This window comes from Homo sapiens, chromosome 22 (assembly GCF_000001405.40).
Source record: "Homo sapiens chromosome 22, GRCh38.p14 Primary Assembly".
Taxonomy (NCBI): domain Eukaryota; kingdom Metazoa; phylum Chordata; class Mammalia; order Primates; family Hominidae; genus Homo; species Homo sapiens.
Genome location: NC_000022.11, coordinates 42,019,875 through 42,037,905, shown reverse-complemented (window position 1 = coordinate 42,037,905; position 18,031 = coordinate 42,019,875). Strand labels below are relative to the sequence as shown.

Sequence of the window (18,031 nt, the reverse complement as noted above, 5' to 3'; positions counted from 1 at the left end):
ATAAAAAGCTCAAAAGACTACAAACACACACACACACACACACACACACACACACTCTCACTCTCTCTCTCTCTCCCCGCACCTCCCCCCGAAACTGGTAGAACTAATGAATGAATTCCGTAGTTTCAGGACACAAAATCAACATATAAAACTCCATAGCATCTCTATATACCAAAGATGAACTATCTGAAAGGGAAATTAAGAATGCAACCTCATTTACTTTAGCAACAAAAATTTTAAAATACTTAGGAATTTACGGGACTCAGCAAAATAACTGACACAAATAAATGGAATAAAAACACAAATAAGTGGAAAGACATCTCATGTTCACAGATTGGAAGAATTAATATCGTCTAAGTGTCCATACTACCTAAAGCAATCTACAGATTCAATGCAATCCCTATCAAAATCCCAATTGCACTTTTTATAAAAATAGAAAAAAAAAATCCTAAAATTCATATGGAACTACAAAAAACCCTGAATAGCCAAAGCAATTTTGAACGAGAACAAAAAGCTGGAGACATCACACTTCCTGACTACAAATTATCTATCTTACAAAGCTATCACCAAAATAGTATGGTGCTGGCATAAAAACAGACACAGACAAAATGGAACAGAACAGAGAACCCAGAAATAAACTCACATATTAATGAACAACTTACTTTGACAAGGGTGCTAAGAACACACAATCGGGAAAGGATAATCTGTTCAATAAACAGTACTGGAAAAACTGGGTATCTACACACACACACACACACACACACACACACACACACAAATGAAATCTGACCCCATCTCATACTACACAACAATCAACTCAAATAGACAAAAGGCTCAAATGTAAAACTTGAAACTGCAAAATTCCTCGAAGAAAACATTGGGAAAACCTTGACATTGGTCTTGTAATAATTTTCTCAATATGACACCAAAAGCACAGGCAATGAAAGAAAAAATAGACAAGTGGGATTACATCAAACTAAAAAGCTTCTGCAGAGCAGAAGAAATAATCCAAAAAATGAAAAGGCAACCTACAGAATGGGAAAATAATGTTTGGAAACTATATAGCTGATAAGGGATTAATATCCAAAATATATAAGGAACTCATACAACTCAATGCTAAAAATACAAATAACTGGATTAAAAAATGGGCCAAGAACCAAAATAGACACTTCTCAAAAAAGGAAATTCAGATGGCCAATAAGCATATGAAAATGTGTTCAACATTTGTAATCATCAGGTAAATGCAGATCAAAACCATAATGAGATATCACTTCACACCTTTTAGGCTATTATCAAAAAGATAAAAGATAACAAATGTTGTCAAGGATGTGGAGAAAAGAGAACCCTTGTACACTGCTGTTAGGAATATACATTCATACAGCCATTATGGAAAAAGTATGAAGGTTCCCAAAAAATTAAAAATAGAACACATGGCCGGGCACGGTGGCTCACGCCCGTAATCCCAGCACTTTGGGAGGCCGAGGCGGGGAGATCACAAGGCCAAGAGATCAAGACCATCCTGGCTAACATGCTGAAACCCCATCTCTACTAAAAGTAAAAAAAATTAGCCGGGCATGGTGGCAGATGCCTGTGGTCCCAGCTGCTCGGGAGGCTGAGGCAGGAGAATGGTGTGAACCCAGGAGGCAGAGCTTGCAGTGAGCCCAGATCACGCCACTGCACTCCAACCTGGGCGACAGAGCGAGACTTGGTCTCAAAGAAAAAAAAAAATAGAACATATGATCAAACAATCCTATAGGATAGTAAAGGGATATCTGTACTCCCATTGTTCACTGTAGCATTTTGCACGACAGTCAAGATATGGAAACAACCTAAATGTCCTTCAGTGATGAACAGATAAAGAAAATGTGATTATACACACATACAAAACAGACTATTATTCAGCCTTTAAAAAAGAAAATCCTGCCATTTGTAACAAAATGAATGAAGCTGGAGGAAGTTATGTTAAACAAAATAGGCAAGACACAGAAAGAGAAATACTGCATGATCTCCCTTTTATGTAGAATCTAAAATAGTCAAACTATAGAAACAGAAAGTAGGATGGTGGTTGCCAGGGGCTGGGAAGAGGGGGAAATGGAGGATGTTGGTCAAAGGGTATAAAAATGGTAACTATATACAGGTAATAGATATGTTAATTAGTTGGAATGTGATGGTCATTTCACAATGTTTCACAAAAACATTCAGTTGTATACATTAAATATATATAATTTTTGTATGTCATAAATATTAAATTATTGCAAAATAATTTAAGAGACAAAAAAGTGATTCACCAACTGTGTTTAATAGCTACATATTAATGATGGCAGCAGCAGGCCATCTGGAGCAGCTGCTGCCATCACGCTGGCTGCAGCAACTAGGCATGGCCAGGGCTGCATGCTCCATGGAGAAGGCAAAAGCCAGGGACAAGCGCGAGACCCGCCCCTTCCAAGTTGGGGTGAGAGCTTCCTGGATGCTGCTGCAGCCGCCCAAGCCGTGGCTGCAGACCCAGGCATCCCTGTGCTCTCAGGGCCCAGAGGGGCAGGTGGGAGCTCCACCCTCCCAGGCACAGCTCCAGCTGCCCAAACCGTGGCTGCAGACCCAGGCATCCTTGCACTCTTGGGGGCCCAGGAAGGCCCCCCTTGTTGCGGGAAGTCAGGGACCCCAAACGGAGGGACCGGCTGAAGTCATGACAGAAGAATGTGGATTGTGAAGATTTTATGGACATTTATTAGTTCCCCAAATTAATACTTTTGTAATTTCTTATGCCTGTCTTTACTGCAGTCTCTAAACATAAATTGTAAAGATTTAATGGACACTTATCACTTCCCCAGTAAATATCCTTGTGATTTCCTATGCCTGTCTTTGCTTTAATCTCTTAATCCTGTCAGCTGAGAAGGATGTGTATCGTCTCAGGACCCTGTAATAATTGCGTTAACTACACAAATTGTACAGCATATGTGTTTGAGCAATATGAAATGTGGGCACCCTGAAAAAAGAACAGGATAACAGCAATTGTTCAGGGAATAAGAGAGATAACCTTAAACTCTGACCACCGGTGAGCCGGGCAGAACAGAGCCATATTTCTCTTCTTTCAAAAGCAAATGGGAGAAATATCACTGAATTCCTTTCTCAGCATGGAAAGTCCCTGAGAAAGAGAATGCGCACCTAGGGGTAGGTCTCTGAACTGGCCCCCCCGGGGCGTACCTGTCTCTTATGGTCGAGATTGCAGAGGTGAAATAAACTCCAGTCTCCCATAGCGCTCCCAGGCTTATTAGGAAGAGGAAATTCCCGCCTAATAAACTTTGGTCAGACCGGGTGATCTCAAAACCCTGTCTCCTGATAAGATGTTATCAATGACAATGGTGCCTGAAACTTCATTAGCAATGTGATCTCACCCTGCCTCCACTTGCCTTGTGATATTCTATTACCCTGTTAAGTACTTGATGTCTGTCACCCACACCTATTCGCACACTCCCTCCCCTTTTGAAAATCCCTAATAAAAACTTGCTGGTTTTTGTGGCTTGTGGGGCATCACAGATCCTACCAACGTGTGATGTCTCCCCCGGATGCCCAGCTTTAAAATTTCTCTCTTTTGTACTCTGTCCTTTTATTTCTCAAGTCAGCCGACGCTTAGGAAAATAGAAAAGAACCTACGTGATTATTGGGGCAGGTCCCCCGATACCCCCTTGCCCTTGCAGGCATGGAAATGCCTGTTCCTACTGCCTAGCTTCTCCCTGCCTTCTCTGATCTCAGAGCAAAGTTGGGCAGTGCTGACACACCAGCCCCCTGCCGCCCTGGCCCCCTCCAGATTTTGGGCACAATGAGCATAGAAGGAAACTGAGGGGAGCTGAGGGCAGCTTGGCTTGGCACCTACAGCCTGGGTACCATCAACGGAAGGAGGCAGACAGGTTCCTGGGTAGAAGGGGATGGGTCCCTGGTGACGTCACACCTTCAGGCCAGGGAGGGCTTGAAAGCTGGGGGCCAGGATGCCAGTCCCATGGACTGGAGTGAGAACTTGTGATGGCTTTTCTGGGCCTGCCCATGGCCACATATGGACCAATCGATATGTACTTCTTCCCCTCTGAGGCCCATAAAATCCCTGGGCTCAGCCAGAGCTAAGCAGATGTTGGGACGACCAGCTGCAGAGAGGAGCTACCCATTCCAGGACCCCTCTCTGTTGAGAGCAGCAGACATCAGCACAATGAGCTGCAGTGAAGAGCTACCCACTCCAGGGCCTCCTCTCTGCTGAGAGCCACAGAGATGACAGGAAGACCTGCCTGCAGATAGGAGCTACCCACTCCAAGGCCTCCTCTGAGCTATTGTCACTCAATAGCTCCTGTTTGTCTTGCTCACCCTCCACTTGTCTGTGTACCTCATTCTCATTGCTCACCCTCTACTTGTCTGTGCACCTCATTGAAGAACTTTGGACCCACTAAATGAGGCTAAAAGACCTGTAACACAAACAGGGTTGAGACATGCCCCTTGCTCAACATGTTGTGGGCAAAGAGAAGAAAAGAAGAGCTGCAGCCCTTTGGGAAGCCCAGACCTGGGAGCTCTCCAAGCCAGGGCTGTGACTCCCTCTTTGGGGCCCTATGGTTCCTGGCATCTCCAAGCTTCTGGGCACCACCTTTTCCCTGGTGCCAGCTGTGGAAGCTGCTTGGAGTGCGACTGGTCCAGCTGCAGCCTCGTGGAGAGCTGGTGCCCATGCTGGTACCTGGAGCTGACCACCCCACTGCAGCAGCTGGCACATCTGACTGAAAAATAGCCAGACCCCACACTTCCCCACACACCCCTTGTCACTCCATGCAATCTCCCTTGGCAGGCATGGGATCCAGGCCAGTAGCATGAGCCAAGTGCAGCCTGTCAGGCCGGGTGGGTGGAATGAGCCCAGTGGGCCCAAGCAATACTTGGGCAGAGGTGCCACTTGTCCACAGAGGTTTCTGGCCAGAAAAGTGACACCCCAAAGATACCATAATATTAATAATTAATACCCTGTTTTATTATTTATAATAAATTCTAATTACTAAAAATTACAAGTTTCTTATATTGGCTACTAAATCATACATCTAAACTAATCAAACTGCTGGTCACATCTGTATAGACCCTTTCCCTTTGACAGAACCCCTTCTTTCTAATCCATTTAGGAAGCTTCAAAGAAAGTTTATTCTCTAGCAGTCCATGGTTGTCTGCCCCACCCTCTTCAGGCTCCAGAAGACTCTCAAGGCAAAGGCCAGGAAGAATATCATACGTTTCACTTCCTACCTGACAATGAGGTAATCTGTGTAACAGAATAAATTTTTACATTATTAATTTGAATTGGGCTTCTACATTTTATATATATACATACATGATTTTCAAGCAAGCAACCAAGTGCTAGGCAAGGAAAGCCAAGTCAACATGAAGGCAAAGGCTTTCTATTACCTTTTGGGTAAACCCAAATCCTGAGATTTGGATTAGGATAGATGCTTAAGAGATAGAGGTGATGCAGACCAACAGCACAGCTGAGAGGGCAGAATCTGGAAGTTTAAGGAATTGTCAGACTCTCAAGGATAAGGAGGCCTTTGGGGTCCTACTCCCCAGTTCTAAGGAGCAATATGGTACACAGAGTTGGATCTCTGACACCCTGGTTCTAAGCCCTACCTAAGATTCTGGGGTCCCAAGGCAACAAGCTTTTAGACTTGACGGGACTGCCAGGACTGGATAGTGGCTGTTTCAGAAGCAGTCTGATGACCAGAAGAAACTTCTCAGCATCTTGGTGCCAAATAAAATCTGGATACCTTTGCATAATCTTAGGATTTGTGAGAAGCCCACCAACAAAGCAGATGGTGGTGGGGATCTTGGTAACAGAAATAAATTTACAGAAAACAAAGACATGCAATATTTCTTGAACATATTAATCTATGGATTGAAAAATCGGCCAGGCACAGGCCGATGCCTGTAATCCCAGCACTTTGGGAGGCCGAGGCGGGTGGATCACTTGAGGTCAGGAGTTCGAAACCAGCCTGGCCAACATGGTGAAACCCTGTCTCCACTAAAAACACAAAAATTAGCCGAGCATGGTGGCAGGCACCTGTCATCCAAGCTATTCAGGAGGCTGAAGCAGGAGAATCGCTTAAACCTGTGGGGCAAAGGTTGCAGTGAGCCGAGATCGCGCCACTGCACTCCAGCCTGGGGGACAGAGCCAGATTCTATCTTGAAAAAAAAAAAAACAAAAAGAGGAAAATCACACCAACTATATGTTTTTGTCCTGATATCTCAGGGTAGCTGAGCCAGGAAGGTTCTGCTCCAGCAGGCTGGGGAGCATCCACTTACCCATGAAAAGGAGTATTTGGAGGCTCATTTTAGGGGCCAATACCAGATAGTCCAGGACTAAAAGGTCTTCTTATTTCTATCCCTTTATATTTCTAATAGGAAATGAAAGAGTAGACAACAGAGTATAGTTTCTGTATTGCAGCTGGGGAAGAGACAGGAAGAGCGGAATCCACCAGCACAGTGAGTGAGTCAGAAAGAAAGTACTCAAAACGTCAGTGAGGAGCTGAGGAACTCAGCACATGAGTGCTCTCAGCATGCAGAAGGCTCAGCTGAATTCTGACTGGATTTGTCCTCAGCAAAGCAAAAACCAGGGTCCTTTGAATATACAGGACACAAAGCTCTTCTTATAGAACAAATTGGACTGAGCCTTTGGGGGAAACAACTGTACCAGACAGTGGGAGCTAACTAACAGTAGGTGTGCCACGCAGCACCACGTGGGTCCAAACTGTGGCTCCACTTGGTTCTATCCTTACACAGTCACAGCCTTTGGTTGTACTGGGGCAGTTTGGTGGACCAGGTAAACAGGTACCCTTTGCACAGGAGAACATGGTGGAATTCCACCTTTAAGAAACTCGAACCTGCTACGCTTTTCAGGTAACTGGACCCCACCTCAAATCTACCTGGTACAAGTATAACTAACATGAAGAGCAGAAGAGAAGTCTAGTTTGTATTCTTTTAGAATTCTAATCCCCAAATATTTGCCAGAGATCAGTTACTCGGAAAACTTTCTGATATAAAAAAGGCCTCACCCATTCACCCTGTTCTCAACTTACCATCACATTCCAGCAGACACTGAAAAGCTGAACAAGGGAAACCTTATCCCTGCTCTAGTTGGTTGAGTCTCTCCTCTCTTCCTCTCATCACTGTTGCCCACGTACTGTAGTTTGGAAGTAAGAAAAGAAGAAACTTAAAATATCTCGTTATTTTCCTCCAAAAATTTTAGGGATAAAAGCGCCAGATCCTATGACCCATGTTTAAGATCCAATATTGCCTGGATTCCCTGTTTGGAAACTTTAGAGAGGTTTACAGCCACACTTTCCCTTTTCACTTCTTCCCTTCATGCCAGTTGCCTGGGCAAAGTGGCTGTCCCTGTGTTTTGACATTCCAGCTTCCTAGACCCATAACTCTATCCCAGTAATTTCTGAGAGGAAGCAGCAGCTACTTTCTATATATTTTATCTTCAAGATGTCCCACCCTGCTTTCTGTAAATTGGATATAAAGCTCTTTTATTTGGAATGGAAGGAAGAATGGTCTTTTGACTTGTCTTCATTTTTGGAAAGAGCTTTAAGGTCTAGCATACTCCAGATACCTGAAGTCCATTCTAATTCTAATATCCCATAATTCCAGAAAGTGTTTCTCAGTTTCTTCCACTGAACAAAATGTTTACTGAATATTCTAAAATCAAATAATTTTGAAAAAACTGTAAATTTTGAAAATCTCTCCTTCTTGGAGATTATGTCCATTAGTATAGTCAAGGCTCTAAGAAGTAGTAAAGAAACCAGTTTTCTTGTCTTTTTCAATTATATTTAACCCAGTTACTCCATTTCACATAAAACCCATTAATATCTACCTGACTTCCTTAAGAAAGGCTGTCCTTGAGAACATGGGAGCATCTGGTTTCCTAATTTTCACAATGCAGATCAATCAATGACTCTAAGCTGTGTTAAGGAAAGCATTTAAAACTTTTAAAAAGCTCCATATACAAAGAAGTTAATCATGAAGTTGTAATAACAAAAACCTGGAAACAATTCAAATACCTTAAAAGAGGGACTGAGAAAATACGTTATGGTGTAACTGTGTCACAGAATATTATGTGGTCACTAACAATATTTACAAGCATTTCTTCAAAACCTATGAAAATGTAAAATATCTGGTGAAACATTATATAGCATGATTTCAACTACATATAAGAAATATGCATAGAAGGCCAGGCGCAGTGGCTCATGCCTGTAATCCCAGCACTTCAGGAGGCTGAGACAGGAGGATTGCTTGAGGCCAGGAGTTCAAGACCAGCATGGCCAACATGGCCAGACCCCATCTCTATAAAAATAAAAAAAATTAGCTGGGCATGGTTTTACCTGCCTGTAATCCCAGCTACTCAGGAGGTTGAGGCACGAGAATTGCCTGAACCTGGGAGGTGGAGGTTGCAGTGAGCCAAGATTGTGCCACTGCACTCCAGCCTGGGTGATAAAGCAAGACTCTGTCTCAAAAAAAAAAATGCATAGAAAATATATTGATTTAAATGTCTTCTGGGTCAAGTGCACACCACAACACCTGGCTTTTTTTTTTTTTTTTTTTTTTTCCTAGACACAGGGTCTCGCTATATTGCCCAAGCTGGTCTTGAACTGGCCTCAAGTGATTCTCCCACCTTATCCTATCAAAGTGCAAAGTGCTGGGATTACAGGCATGTGCCACCACACCTGGCTACTAATGTATTTTTAAGGCCTCCCTTTTAGGTGGCTTGATGAGCCTACAATAAGATAAGGAAAGGCCAATGAAATTAAGAACTTTGCCTGCCTTGCCAGAGTGGGAGAATGGTGAGCTCTGAAGGGGCTGAAAGCCTTGAAACAGTCTAGAATAGTGGTCCTCAGCAGGGATGGTACTGCCCCCCAGGGAGCAATTAGGAAATAAGTGGGAGCATTTTTGGTTATCCCAATTGGAGGCCATTATTGGCACTTAATGGGTGAGGAGTCGAAGATGCAAGACATCCTGAAACGTACAGGGCAGTACCTTAATTGTCCTATGTCTCCTGACTTTCAAATGGCTCTCCAGCCAGTGATGTAGGTGAAGCATGTTTATAATCATTTGAGCCTACAGCCTAACTCTGTTTTATATGACTTTAATATATACAGAAATTTTCAGGAATTCAACCACTGTGTAAATCAAGGGAAGACTAAACTTTGTTTTATTTGGAAAATTTTCAAAGGTTGTTCACCATTTTGGAGAACAATATTGCCAATAGCAATGGTATTCAAGTCACCAAAGCAACATATTCATATCAGTTAGCACTTCTAATCTTTATACCTATGCTGACTATGTATATGGGAGTGAACCCTTGATTACTTCAGTATGTCTTCTAGTGTGGTAGAATCTGAGCATTTATATATTAAAACACTTAAAATTTTACTACAAACTCCTTTTATTTCCTCTATCACATTTATGGCCTATTAATTTTGGTTGAAATGGTGTGGAATCATATGCAATTATCTACAAACTTCATTGAAGTGAAGGAGACATTACAAAATATTTGTTATAAATATACAAATATAAACGTTTGTTATAAAATATAAATATTTGTTATAAAATGGGGCATTCAGTCTGATGAGGCTGAAAATCACTATAGTATATGCTCCCTACAACTTGCTTTTCTCCTTATCAACAAGTCTTAGAAATTTCTGCATACGTAGTATGGGCATACCATAGCCTATTCATATATTTCCTATTAATGGACATATAGGTTATTTCTAATTTTGTGCTGTTAGAAACAATGAATATAATGAAATCTTCCCACATGCATCTTTGTGCACACATGCAAGTTTTCTCGCAGGCATATTTTAAAATGTGAAAGTGCCATATCAAGAGTTTTAATATTTGTAAATCTTTGGAGATAAAAATGTTTTCTCATCTCAGGTTGCATTTCCCTAACACTAGTCAAGCTGAACATCTTTTCAAACGTTTTCTGGCCATGCTATTGCCTTGGTTATTCGGCAATTCATATTTCTGTCATTTTGGGGAGAATTGATTTGTAGTTATTCACGTATTCTGACTATAAATTAATATATATGTTGAAAATCACTTTTTCCTATTCTGTTGCCTATCTTTTAACTTCTGTCATAGAGAAGTTTTAAATTTTGATATAGTCAATTTATCATGCTTTTATTTGTTGGTTTTGGTCTCCTCAAAGAAGGCTTTCTCTACCTCTAGACATAGTTTTCAACAGGTGTATAATACTCCATTTTGTGGATCCACCGTAATTTATAACACTCTTACTATTGAAAATTTAGCTTTCTCAAACAACTAAGTGTTCAACATGACGTTTTTAGCACGCATCTTAGTGCCTAGCAAACGGAGCATAATAAATGTTTCTTGAATGAGGATGGGAAGACAGGAACCTTGAATGCGAGTGTGGAAAAAGTTATGTTTAAAAATGCAACCCAATGTCAACCAAATTACTGGGGAATTAGCCCCACAATGGTATTCTTCCTTTAGCCAGCTATTTAAGAGTTGATTCTGCTTCTAAAATCTAGGCACAGAAGTAAAGTTTCACCTTCCCCCATAAGATTGCCCTTCCAAAGGGTGGAACAACTACCTGCGAGAAGCCTGTGATCACATACCTGAGTCGTCCTCCTTATCCTGACTTCAATTTTAGGGTACCTCTTTGCTTGGTGAGTCTTCAAGGTTTACATCTTAGAAGGTTAAGAATGGACCTGAGAAGAGGAGGCAGAGGGAAGAGAAGCCTCGTTTTCAGGAGCCTGGGCTGCTGTAGATTCCTGAGGCCTGGCTCCTGATCCAGCAGGTGAGGCTCTGTATCCCGCAGGCGGGCCTTCATTTCCTGCAGGTGGGGCTCCATATCCGAGAGGTGGGGCTCCATATCCGAGAGGTGGGGTTCCATATCCAAGAGGTGGGGCTCCATATCCTAGAGGTGGGGCTCCATATCCTGCAGGTGGGGCTCCGTATCCAAGAGGTGGGGCTCCATATCGCACAGGTGAGGCTCTGTATCCCACAGGCGGGCCTTCATTTCCTACGGGTTGGGCTCCATATCCTGCAGGTGGGGCTCCGTATCCGGGAGGTGGGGCTCCATATCCTGCAGGTGGGGCTCCATAGACAATAACTGGGAATTATAATGGAAGGAAAAAAATTCAGTTACCTTTAAGTCAAGGAATATGTGAGAAGGAAGAACTTAAAAAATAATGCTGAAGCAAACTGACGCAAGAAGAGAAGTCAGGCAGAATAATGCTAAAGCTATTTCCTCTAGCTATCACCAATTGAAGGCATATCACTTCCTGTTGTGCAGGGATTCAAATCAACATGAAAACAACCCTATCAATAGATCGGTGCGTTACTTATACTCTTGCACAGATATGTGTTTTACTTAATAAAGTTTGATTATGAAAAAAAGTAATACATGCTTAATGAGGAATATGCGTTTGGAAAATAGAGAAAAGAGGAATGGAAAAAAGCCATCTATAATTCTACCATTGAACACTTACTATTTTGGTGTATTTCTTTGTAGAATCTCTGTGAATATTCTTTATATAATCATGATCATATCAGCCATATTATTATTATTATTATTATTATTATTATTATTATTATTATTATTTTGAGAGGGGGTCTCGCTCTGTTGCCCAGGCTGGAGTGCAGTGGCGCGATCTTGGCTCACTGCAAGCTCTGCCTCCTGGGTTCATGCCATTCTCCCACCTCAGCCTCCCGAGTAGCTGGGACTACAAGCACCCGCCACCATGCCCAGCTAATTTTTTTGTATTTTTAGTAGAGACAGGGTTTCACCATGTTAGCCAGGATGGTCTCGATCTCCTGACCTCATGATCCACCCGCCTCGGCCTCCCAAAGTGCTGGGATTACAGGCGTGAGCCACTGCGCCCGGCCAGCCATATGATTTTTTAAATCTGGCTCTTTTACTTAATATTATAAGAAATGTCTTCATATTGTTAATTTACTTCATAAATTCAAAGCTGGATAATATTTCATCATATGGATAGATGACTCTTTTTGTTGTTTCTGACTTTCCAATTAACCTTACAATAAACATGAGTTTTACTTATTACCTTGGGTTACATTCCCCAAAGTGATTTAACTGGATAAAGTGAATGGACAGCTGTAAAGTTATTTTGCTTTAATCCAAAATTTATTACAAAACTACTGTAATCAAGACAGTGTTTTACTGGCACAAGGACAGACTTAGAGACCAATGGAATGAATTAAGAGTCCAGAAATAAACCCAAGCATCTATGAACAGTTGATTTTTGACAGAATGCCAAGACCATTCAATGGGAAAAAAACAGTCTCTTCAAAAAATGATTCTGGGACAACTGGATATCTGCACGTAAAAGAATGAGGTTCTTCCCTCACTTCACTCTACAGATAAAAATTAACTTGTAGTGAATCAATGGCCTTAATATAAAACAGAGGTGGCCAATCTTTTGGCTTCCCTGGGCCACATTGGTGAAGAATTGTCTTGGGCCACATATAAAATATACTAACACTAACGATAGCTGATGAGCTATTTTTAAAAATCTCATAACATTTGAAGAAAGTTTATGAATTTGTGTTGGGCTGCATTCAAAGCCATCCTGGGCCATGGGTTGGACAAGCTTGATATAAGAGCTAAAACTATAAAATGCTTAGAAGAAAACAGGGATAAATCTTCATGACATTGGATTTGGCAACGAATTCTCACATTTTACATCAAAAGCATGAGCAACAAGAGGAAAAAAGAGAAATCTGATAAAAATTAAAAACCTTTGTGCATTAAAAGCCATTTTTGCCTGGGCACAGTTGTTCACACCTGTAACCCACTGGCCGAGGCAGGCAGATCATTTGAGCTCAGGAGTTCTAGATGAGTCTGAACAACATGGTGAAACTACATCTCTACTAAAAATACAAAGATTAGCTGTGCAGGGTGGCACACACCCGCAGTCCCAGCTATTCAGGAGGCTGAGGCACAAGAATCACTTAAACCCGGGAGGCAGAGATTGCAGTGAGCCAAGATGGCGCCACTGCACTCCAGCCTGGGTGACAGAGGGAGACTTTGTCTCAAAAAAAAAAAAAAAAAGTCATTATCAAGAATGTGAAAGAAAACCTAAAAATATTTACAAATAATATATCTGACAAGGATTTCATATCCAGACTATATAAAGAATGCTTACAACTCAACAACAAAAAGACAAGCAATCCGATTTAAATAATAAAAAAAATAGGCAAAAGACTTGGACAGTTCTCCAATTAAGGTATATAAAAAGCACATTAAAAGATGTTCAACATCATTAGTCATTAAGGAAATGCAAATTAAAACCACAATGAGATACCACTTCATACCCACTAGAATGGCTTTAATATAGATTTTTTTTTTTAAAAAAAGGAAGATAAGTGTTGCTGAGGATGTGTAGAAATAGGAACACTTACATTTACACAGGAATGTAAAATAGTGCAGCACTGGAAAATAGTTGGTGGTTCCTCAAAAAGTTAGAGAATTTACATATGACCCAGAAATTCCACTCCAAGATGCATATCCAGGAGAAATGAAAACATATGTCTACGTAGAAAATTATATACAAATGCTCATAGCAGCTAGTATTCGTAATAGCCAAAAGGTGGAAACAAGACAAATGTCCATCAATGGAGGAATGAATACACAAATTGTGGTATATATGTACAATGGAGTATTATTCAGCCAGGAAAAGAAATGAAGTATTGCTACATGCTACAACTTGGAGGAACCTCAAAAACGTTATCTTGAGTGAGATAAGCCAAACACAAAAGGTCACATATTGTATGATTTCTTTTATGTGATATATTCACAATAGGTGAATCAATAAAGACAGAAAGCAGATTAGAGGATACCAGGGGATCAGAGAGGGGACAATGGGGAATAACTTCTTAGTGGCTATTAGGTGATAAAAAGTTTTGAAACCAGACCAGATGCTGTGGCTTACACCTGTAATCCCAGCACTTTGGGAAGCCAAGGCAATAGACTTGCTTGAGCCCAGGAGTGTGAGACCAGCCTAAGCAACACAGTGAGACCCTGTATCTACAAAATTTTTTTAAAAAAAAAGGCTGGCAGGGGCTGGGTGTGGTGGCTCAAGCCTGTAATCCCAGCACTTTGGGAGGCTGAGGCGGGCGGATCACAAGGTCAGGAGATCGAGACCATCCTGGCTAACACAGTGAAATCCCGTCTCTACTAAAAATACAAAAAAAAAATTAGCCGGGCGTGGTGGCGGGCGCCGGTAGTCCCAGCTACTCAGGAGGCTGAGGCAGGAGAATGGCGTGAACCCGGGAGGTGGAGCTTGCATCGCGCCACTGCACTCCAGCCTGGGCGACAGAGCAAGACTCCCTCTCAAAAAAACAAAAACAAAAACAAAAAAGGCTGCCAGAGATGGCTCATGCCTATAATCCCAGCACCTCGGGAGGGCAAGGCGGGCAGATGGCTGGAGGCCAGGAGTTCAGAACCAGCCTGGACAACATAGGGAGATTTCTGTCTCTACAAAAACACATAAAAATTAGCCGGGCATGGTGGATTGCGCCTGTGGTCCTAGCCTACTCTGGTTGGGGGGTACTGAGGTAAGAGGATCGCTTGAGCCCAGGGGGTCGAGGCTGCAGGGGGCCATGATAGTGCCACTGCACTACAGCCTGGGTGACAAAGTGAGACTCTGTCTCCAAAAAAAAAAAACACCACTTTTTGAAACTAGAGACAGCTGGTGGATGTATAATATTGTGAATACGTCAAATACTGCTAAATTTTACACTAAATACCACTGAATTGTACACATTAAAATGTTAATTATATGTTATGTGAATTTCACCAACTGAAAAAATGTTAAACCCTAGCAACAATTACTTTAGATTCTGAATATTAGACTGTAATAACCTTTAAAAACCAAGGTACCTATTAAGGTTACAAATAAGTAGCCTTTAAGTTACATACAAAACTAAAGGCCCATGGACATGCATATCAAGTTCCAAGGAGAACTCAAGAAAAGTCCCATATTTTTGTGTGTGTTGGCAGCATTAGGAGACCCTTGGTGGCCCACCAGTAGGCAGTGGACCATGTTTGAGAATTACTTTCCAGAAACCCCATTCAGTAGCAGTGGACTTTAACAACACAAACTGTTAAAGGACCCAGGGCTCGAGTCCTCAGTAAGGTTGAAGGGTGTGGCACAGGTATGATGACTATGCTATGTGAAATGGAAACAAGGAAGTGGGCAAGAGCATATATTTTCTGCTCAGGCTATAAACAGGAAGTGACCCTTCCCACTAACAGGATTGCCAAGTATGTTCCAGGTTTGTATATATCATTAAAAGTAAGCCTGAAACCAAAGCCCAGTCACTTGCTGACTTTGCCACTGGGTTTCAGTCTGGAAACAAAGTCACAGATGTGACCATTTTCCAAGCCCCTAAAGCTCTGCTGCTGCTCCTGCAGGGAGCAAGCCTGCAAGGGATAGATCTTTGAGCCTCTGGCATAATTTTCCACCTTCCAGGAAGAACCTCTCTGCCATACCTTACCTGAACAAGGCATCTGTGGAGTGCACATATTCCCTTCCCCAGTAATTACATAAATTCCCATAGAGCTGAACCAGTCATTTAAGGTTCTAAGTGGAAATCCTCGGGCAGCTGGAAAGACAAATTTGGCAAAATAGGAACTCTTTTAATTAAGTCAGATATATAGCAGATATCAACTAAACAATTAACAGAGTATTTAATCACCACCTTACATGTGTTTCCAACAATGCTCTTGAGACACAAGATAAAAAAGAAACATGGGCTGGGTGAAGTGGCTCACACCTGTAATCCCAACATTTTAGGAGGCCAAGATGGGAGGATTGCTTGACCCCAGGAGTTCAAGACCAGCCTGGGCAACATGGCAAGACCCTATCTCTACAAAAAATTTTTTAAAAATTAGCCAGGCATGGTGGTGCATGCCTGTGGTCCTAGCTACTCAGGAAGCTGAGGCAGGAGGATTGCTTGAGCCTGGAAATTTGAGGCTGCAGTGAGCCTTATCTGTGCCACTGCACTGGAGCCTCCAGCCTGGGTGACAGAGTAAGACCTTGTCTCAAAAAAAAAAAAAAAAAAGAAAGAAAGAAAAGAAATATGACCCTTGTCCTGAATGGCACGTGTCTTAAGGGCAGAGATTGTATCTCATTTGCCTGTGCTTATTCCAGGCCTAGCATAGCACCTAATCATAACAGATATTCAGAAAAAACTTCTAAGTGAGGATTCTACCAAGTTGGTAAGATATATCCATTAAAGACCAATGTGAGGAAGTGTGGTACCGAAGAAAACACTTTTGTCTTGTCTCCCCTCTGCATCTCTCTTATAAGAACACTTGTGATGGCATTTAGAGGCCACCTAAATAATCTAGGGTAATCTTGTCATCTCAAGATCCTTAAATTAATTACGTCTACAAACACCCTTTTTACAAATAACGTAACAGTCACAGATTCTGAGGATTGGGATGGGGATATATCTGGGGATCCATTATCAGCCTACCACACTGAGTTTTGCCTATGGCATGTGACCAGATGTAATGTAGACAGTTTCCAGGCCTGGCCCATAAAAATTTCCCAGGGGAGATCTTTATTTCCTTCTCTGCTGGCTGTACAAAGAGGCCATGGAAGCCATGGGTTAAAGATCGCAAGGACCGGCCAGGCGTGCTGGCTCACGCCTGTGATCCCAGCACTTTGGGAGGCTGAGGCAGGTGGATCTCCTGAGGTCAGGAGTTCGAGACCAGCCTGACCAACATGGTGAAACCCCGTCTCTACTAAAAATACAAAAATTAGCTGGGCTTGGTGGTGGACACTTGTAATCCCAGCTACTTGGGAGGCTGAGGGAGGAGAATCACTTGAACCCGGGAGGTGGAGGTTGCAGTGAGCCAAGATTGCATGATTGCACTCCAGCCTGGGTGACAAAGCAAGACACTGTCTCAAAAAAAAAAAAAAAAAAAAAAAAAAAAATATATATATATATATATATATATATATATATATATATATACACACACACACACACATATATGAGATAAAAAAATTATTTGTAGTCACAGTTTGAAAGAGTTCTGTGGTACATCCATTAGATCAGTGCTATAAGTCTTGACAGTACCTCTACTCCCCTCTCATGTAAGATGGGGACTAAACCTGAGAAAAGCAAAGGCAAGTCCAGAGAGAAGAAAAACTAAAAAGCCACACCAAAGAAAGAATAACTAAGGGCTCCCTGACCCAAGGAAGAGACGCTCAGTAGATATCTGAGGTCAGTGTTTAAATGGACAAAAGACTATCAGGTATAATTAGTCACCTGGGTGTCTGGCTGTAAGCTCCCACTAGATTGCAAGCTCCTTCAGGATAGGAAGGGACTGAATAATCTTTGTGTTCCTACCCTGTAACATGGTACTTGACAATTGTAGGTAGGCCCAGGAAATGCCTGCTGAATATGTGTGCGAATACCAACTGCCTGGCCACAAAGGCCAGCAAATCTTGGCTGAGTAGAAGTCCTGCTTTAATTCCACAAGCCTTAAAACCCCAAAGTGGGCTGGGCATGGTGGCTCATACCTGTAACCCCAGCACTTCGGGAGGCTGAGGCAAGAGGATCATTTGAGTTCAGGAGTTCGAGACCAGCCTGGGCAACATGGTGAAACCCCGACTTACAAAAATACAAAAATCCCTGTCTCAAAAACAACAAAACAACAACAACAGCAACAACAACAACAAAAAACCCAAACAAACAAACAAAAAACCCCAAAGTGCTTAATATCTTTATCAGCATCACTTACCAGCAGAGGCAGCTTTCACCATCAACTGGGCAAATTCAATGGCATCTCCATTTCTGAAGACTAATTTAAAAGTAGCTTGTCCTTCCCAGCCACCTGGGGGAAGAAATGGCACACACTCACCAAGAAACTGGCATAGCTGACAACAGAAAGACTGCCACAAACACCAAGGGAAGCACTACCTGACAAAGTAGGGCAGCTTTTGTTTGAATTTCAACATGAGCC

The 18,031-nt window shown here is 42.1% G+C and overlaps 1 protein-coding gene across 8 annotated transcripts in view; it reads right to left on the bottom strand.

Moving 5' to 3' along the window:
- WBP2NL (WBP2 N-terminal like) overlaps nt 1–18,031 on the bottom strand; it is a 59,584-nt gene that overhangs the window by 20,466 nt on the left and 21,087 nt on the right. For 5 of the 8 annotated variants that reach the window (XM_047441172.1, XM_047441174.1, XM_047441178.1 and 2 more), the window contains 6 exons: nt 17,810–17,902; nt 15,550–15,657; nt 10,644–11,140; nt 7,880–7,967; nt 7,083–7,186; nt 4,975–5,275 (listed from right to left, as the gene is read on the bottom strand). In XM_047441172.1, coding sequence (XP_047297128.1) covers nt 10,725–11,140; nt 15,550–15,657; nt 17,810–17,902 — 617 coding nt within the window. In that variant the 3' untranslated portion in view covers nt 4,975–5,275; nt 7,083–7,186; nt 7,880–7,967; nt 10,644–10,724. Of the gene's footprint in view, nt 1–4,974; nt 5,276–7,082; nt 7,187–7,879; nt 7,968–9,430; nt 11,141–15,549; nt 15,658–17,809; nt 17,903–18,031 lie in introns of those variants that run through there. The other 3 variants (XM_047441173.1, XM_047441175.1, NM_152613.3) reach the window with 2 other exon arrangements.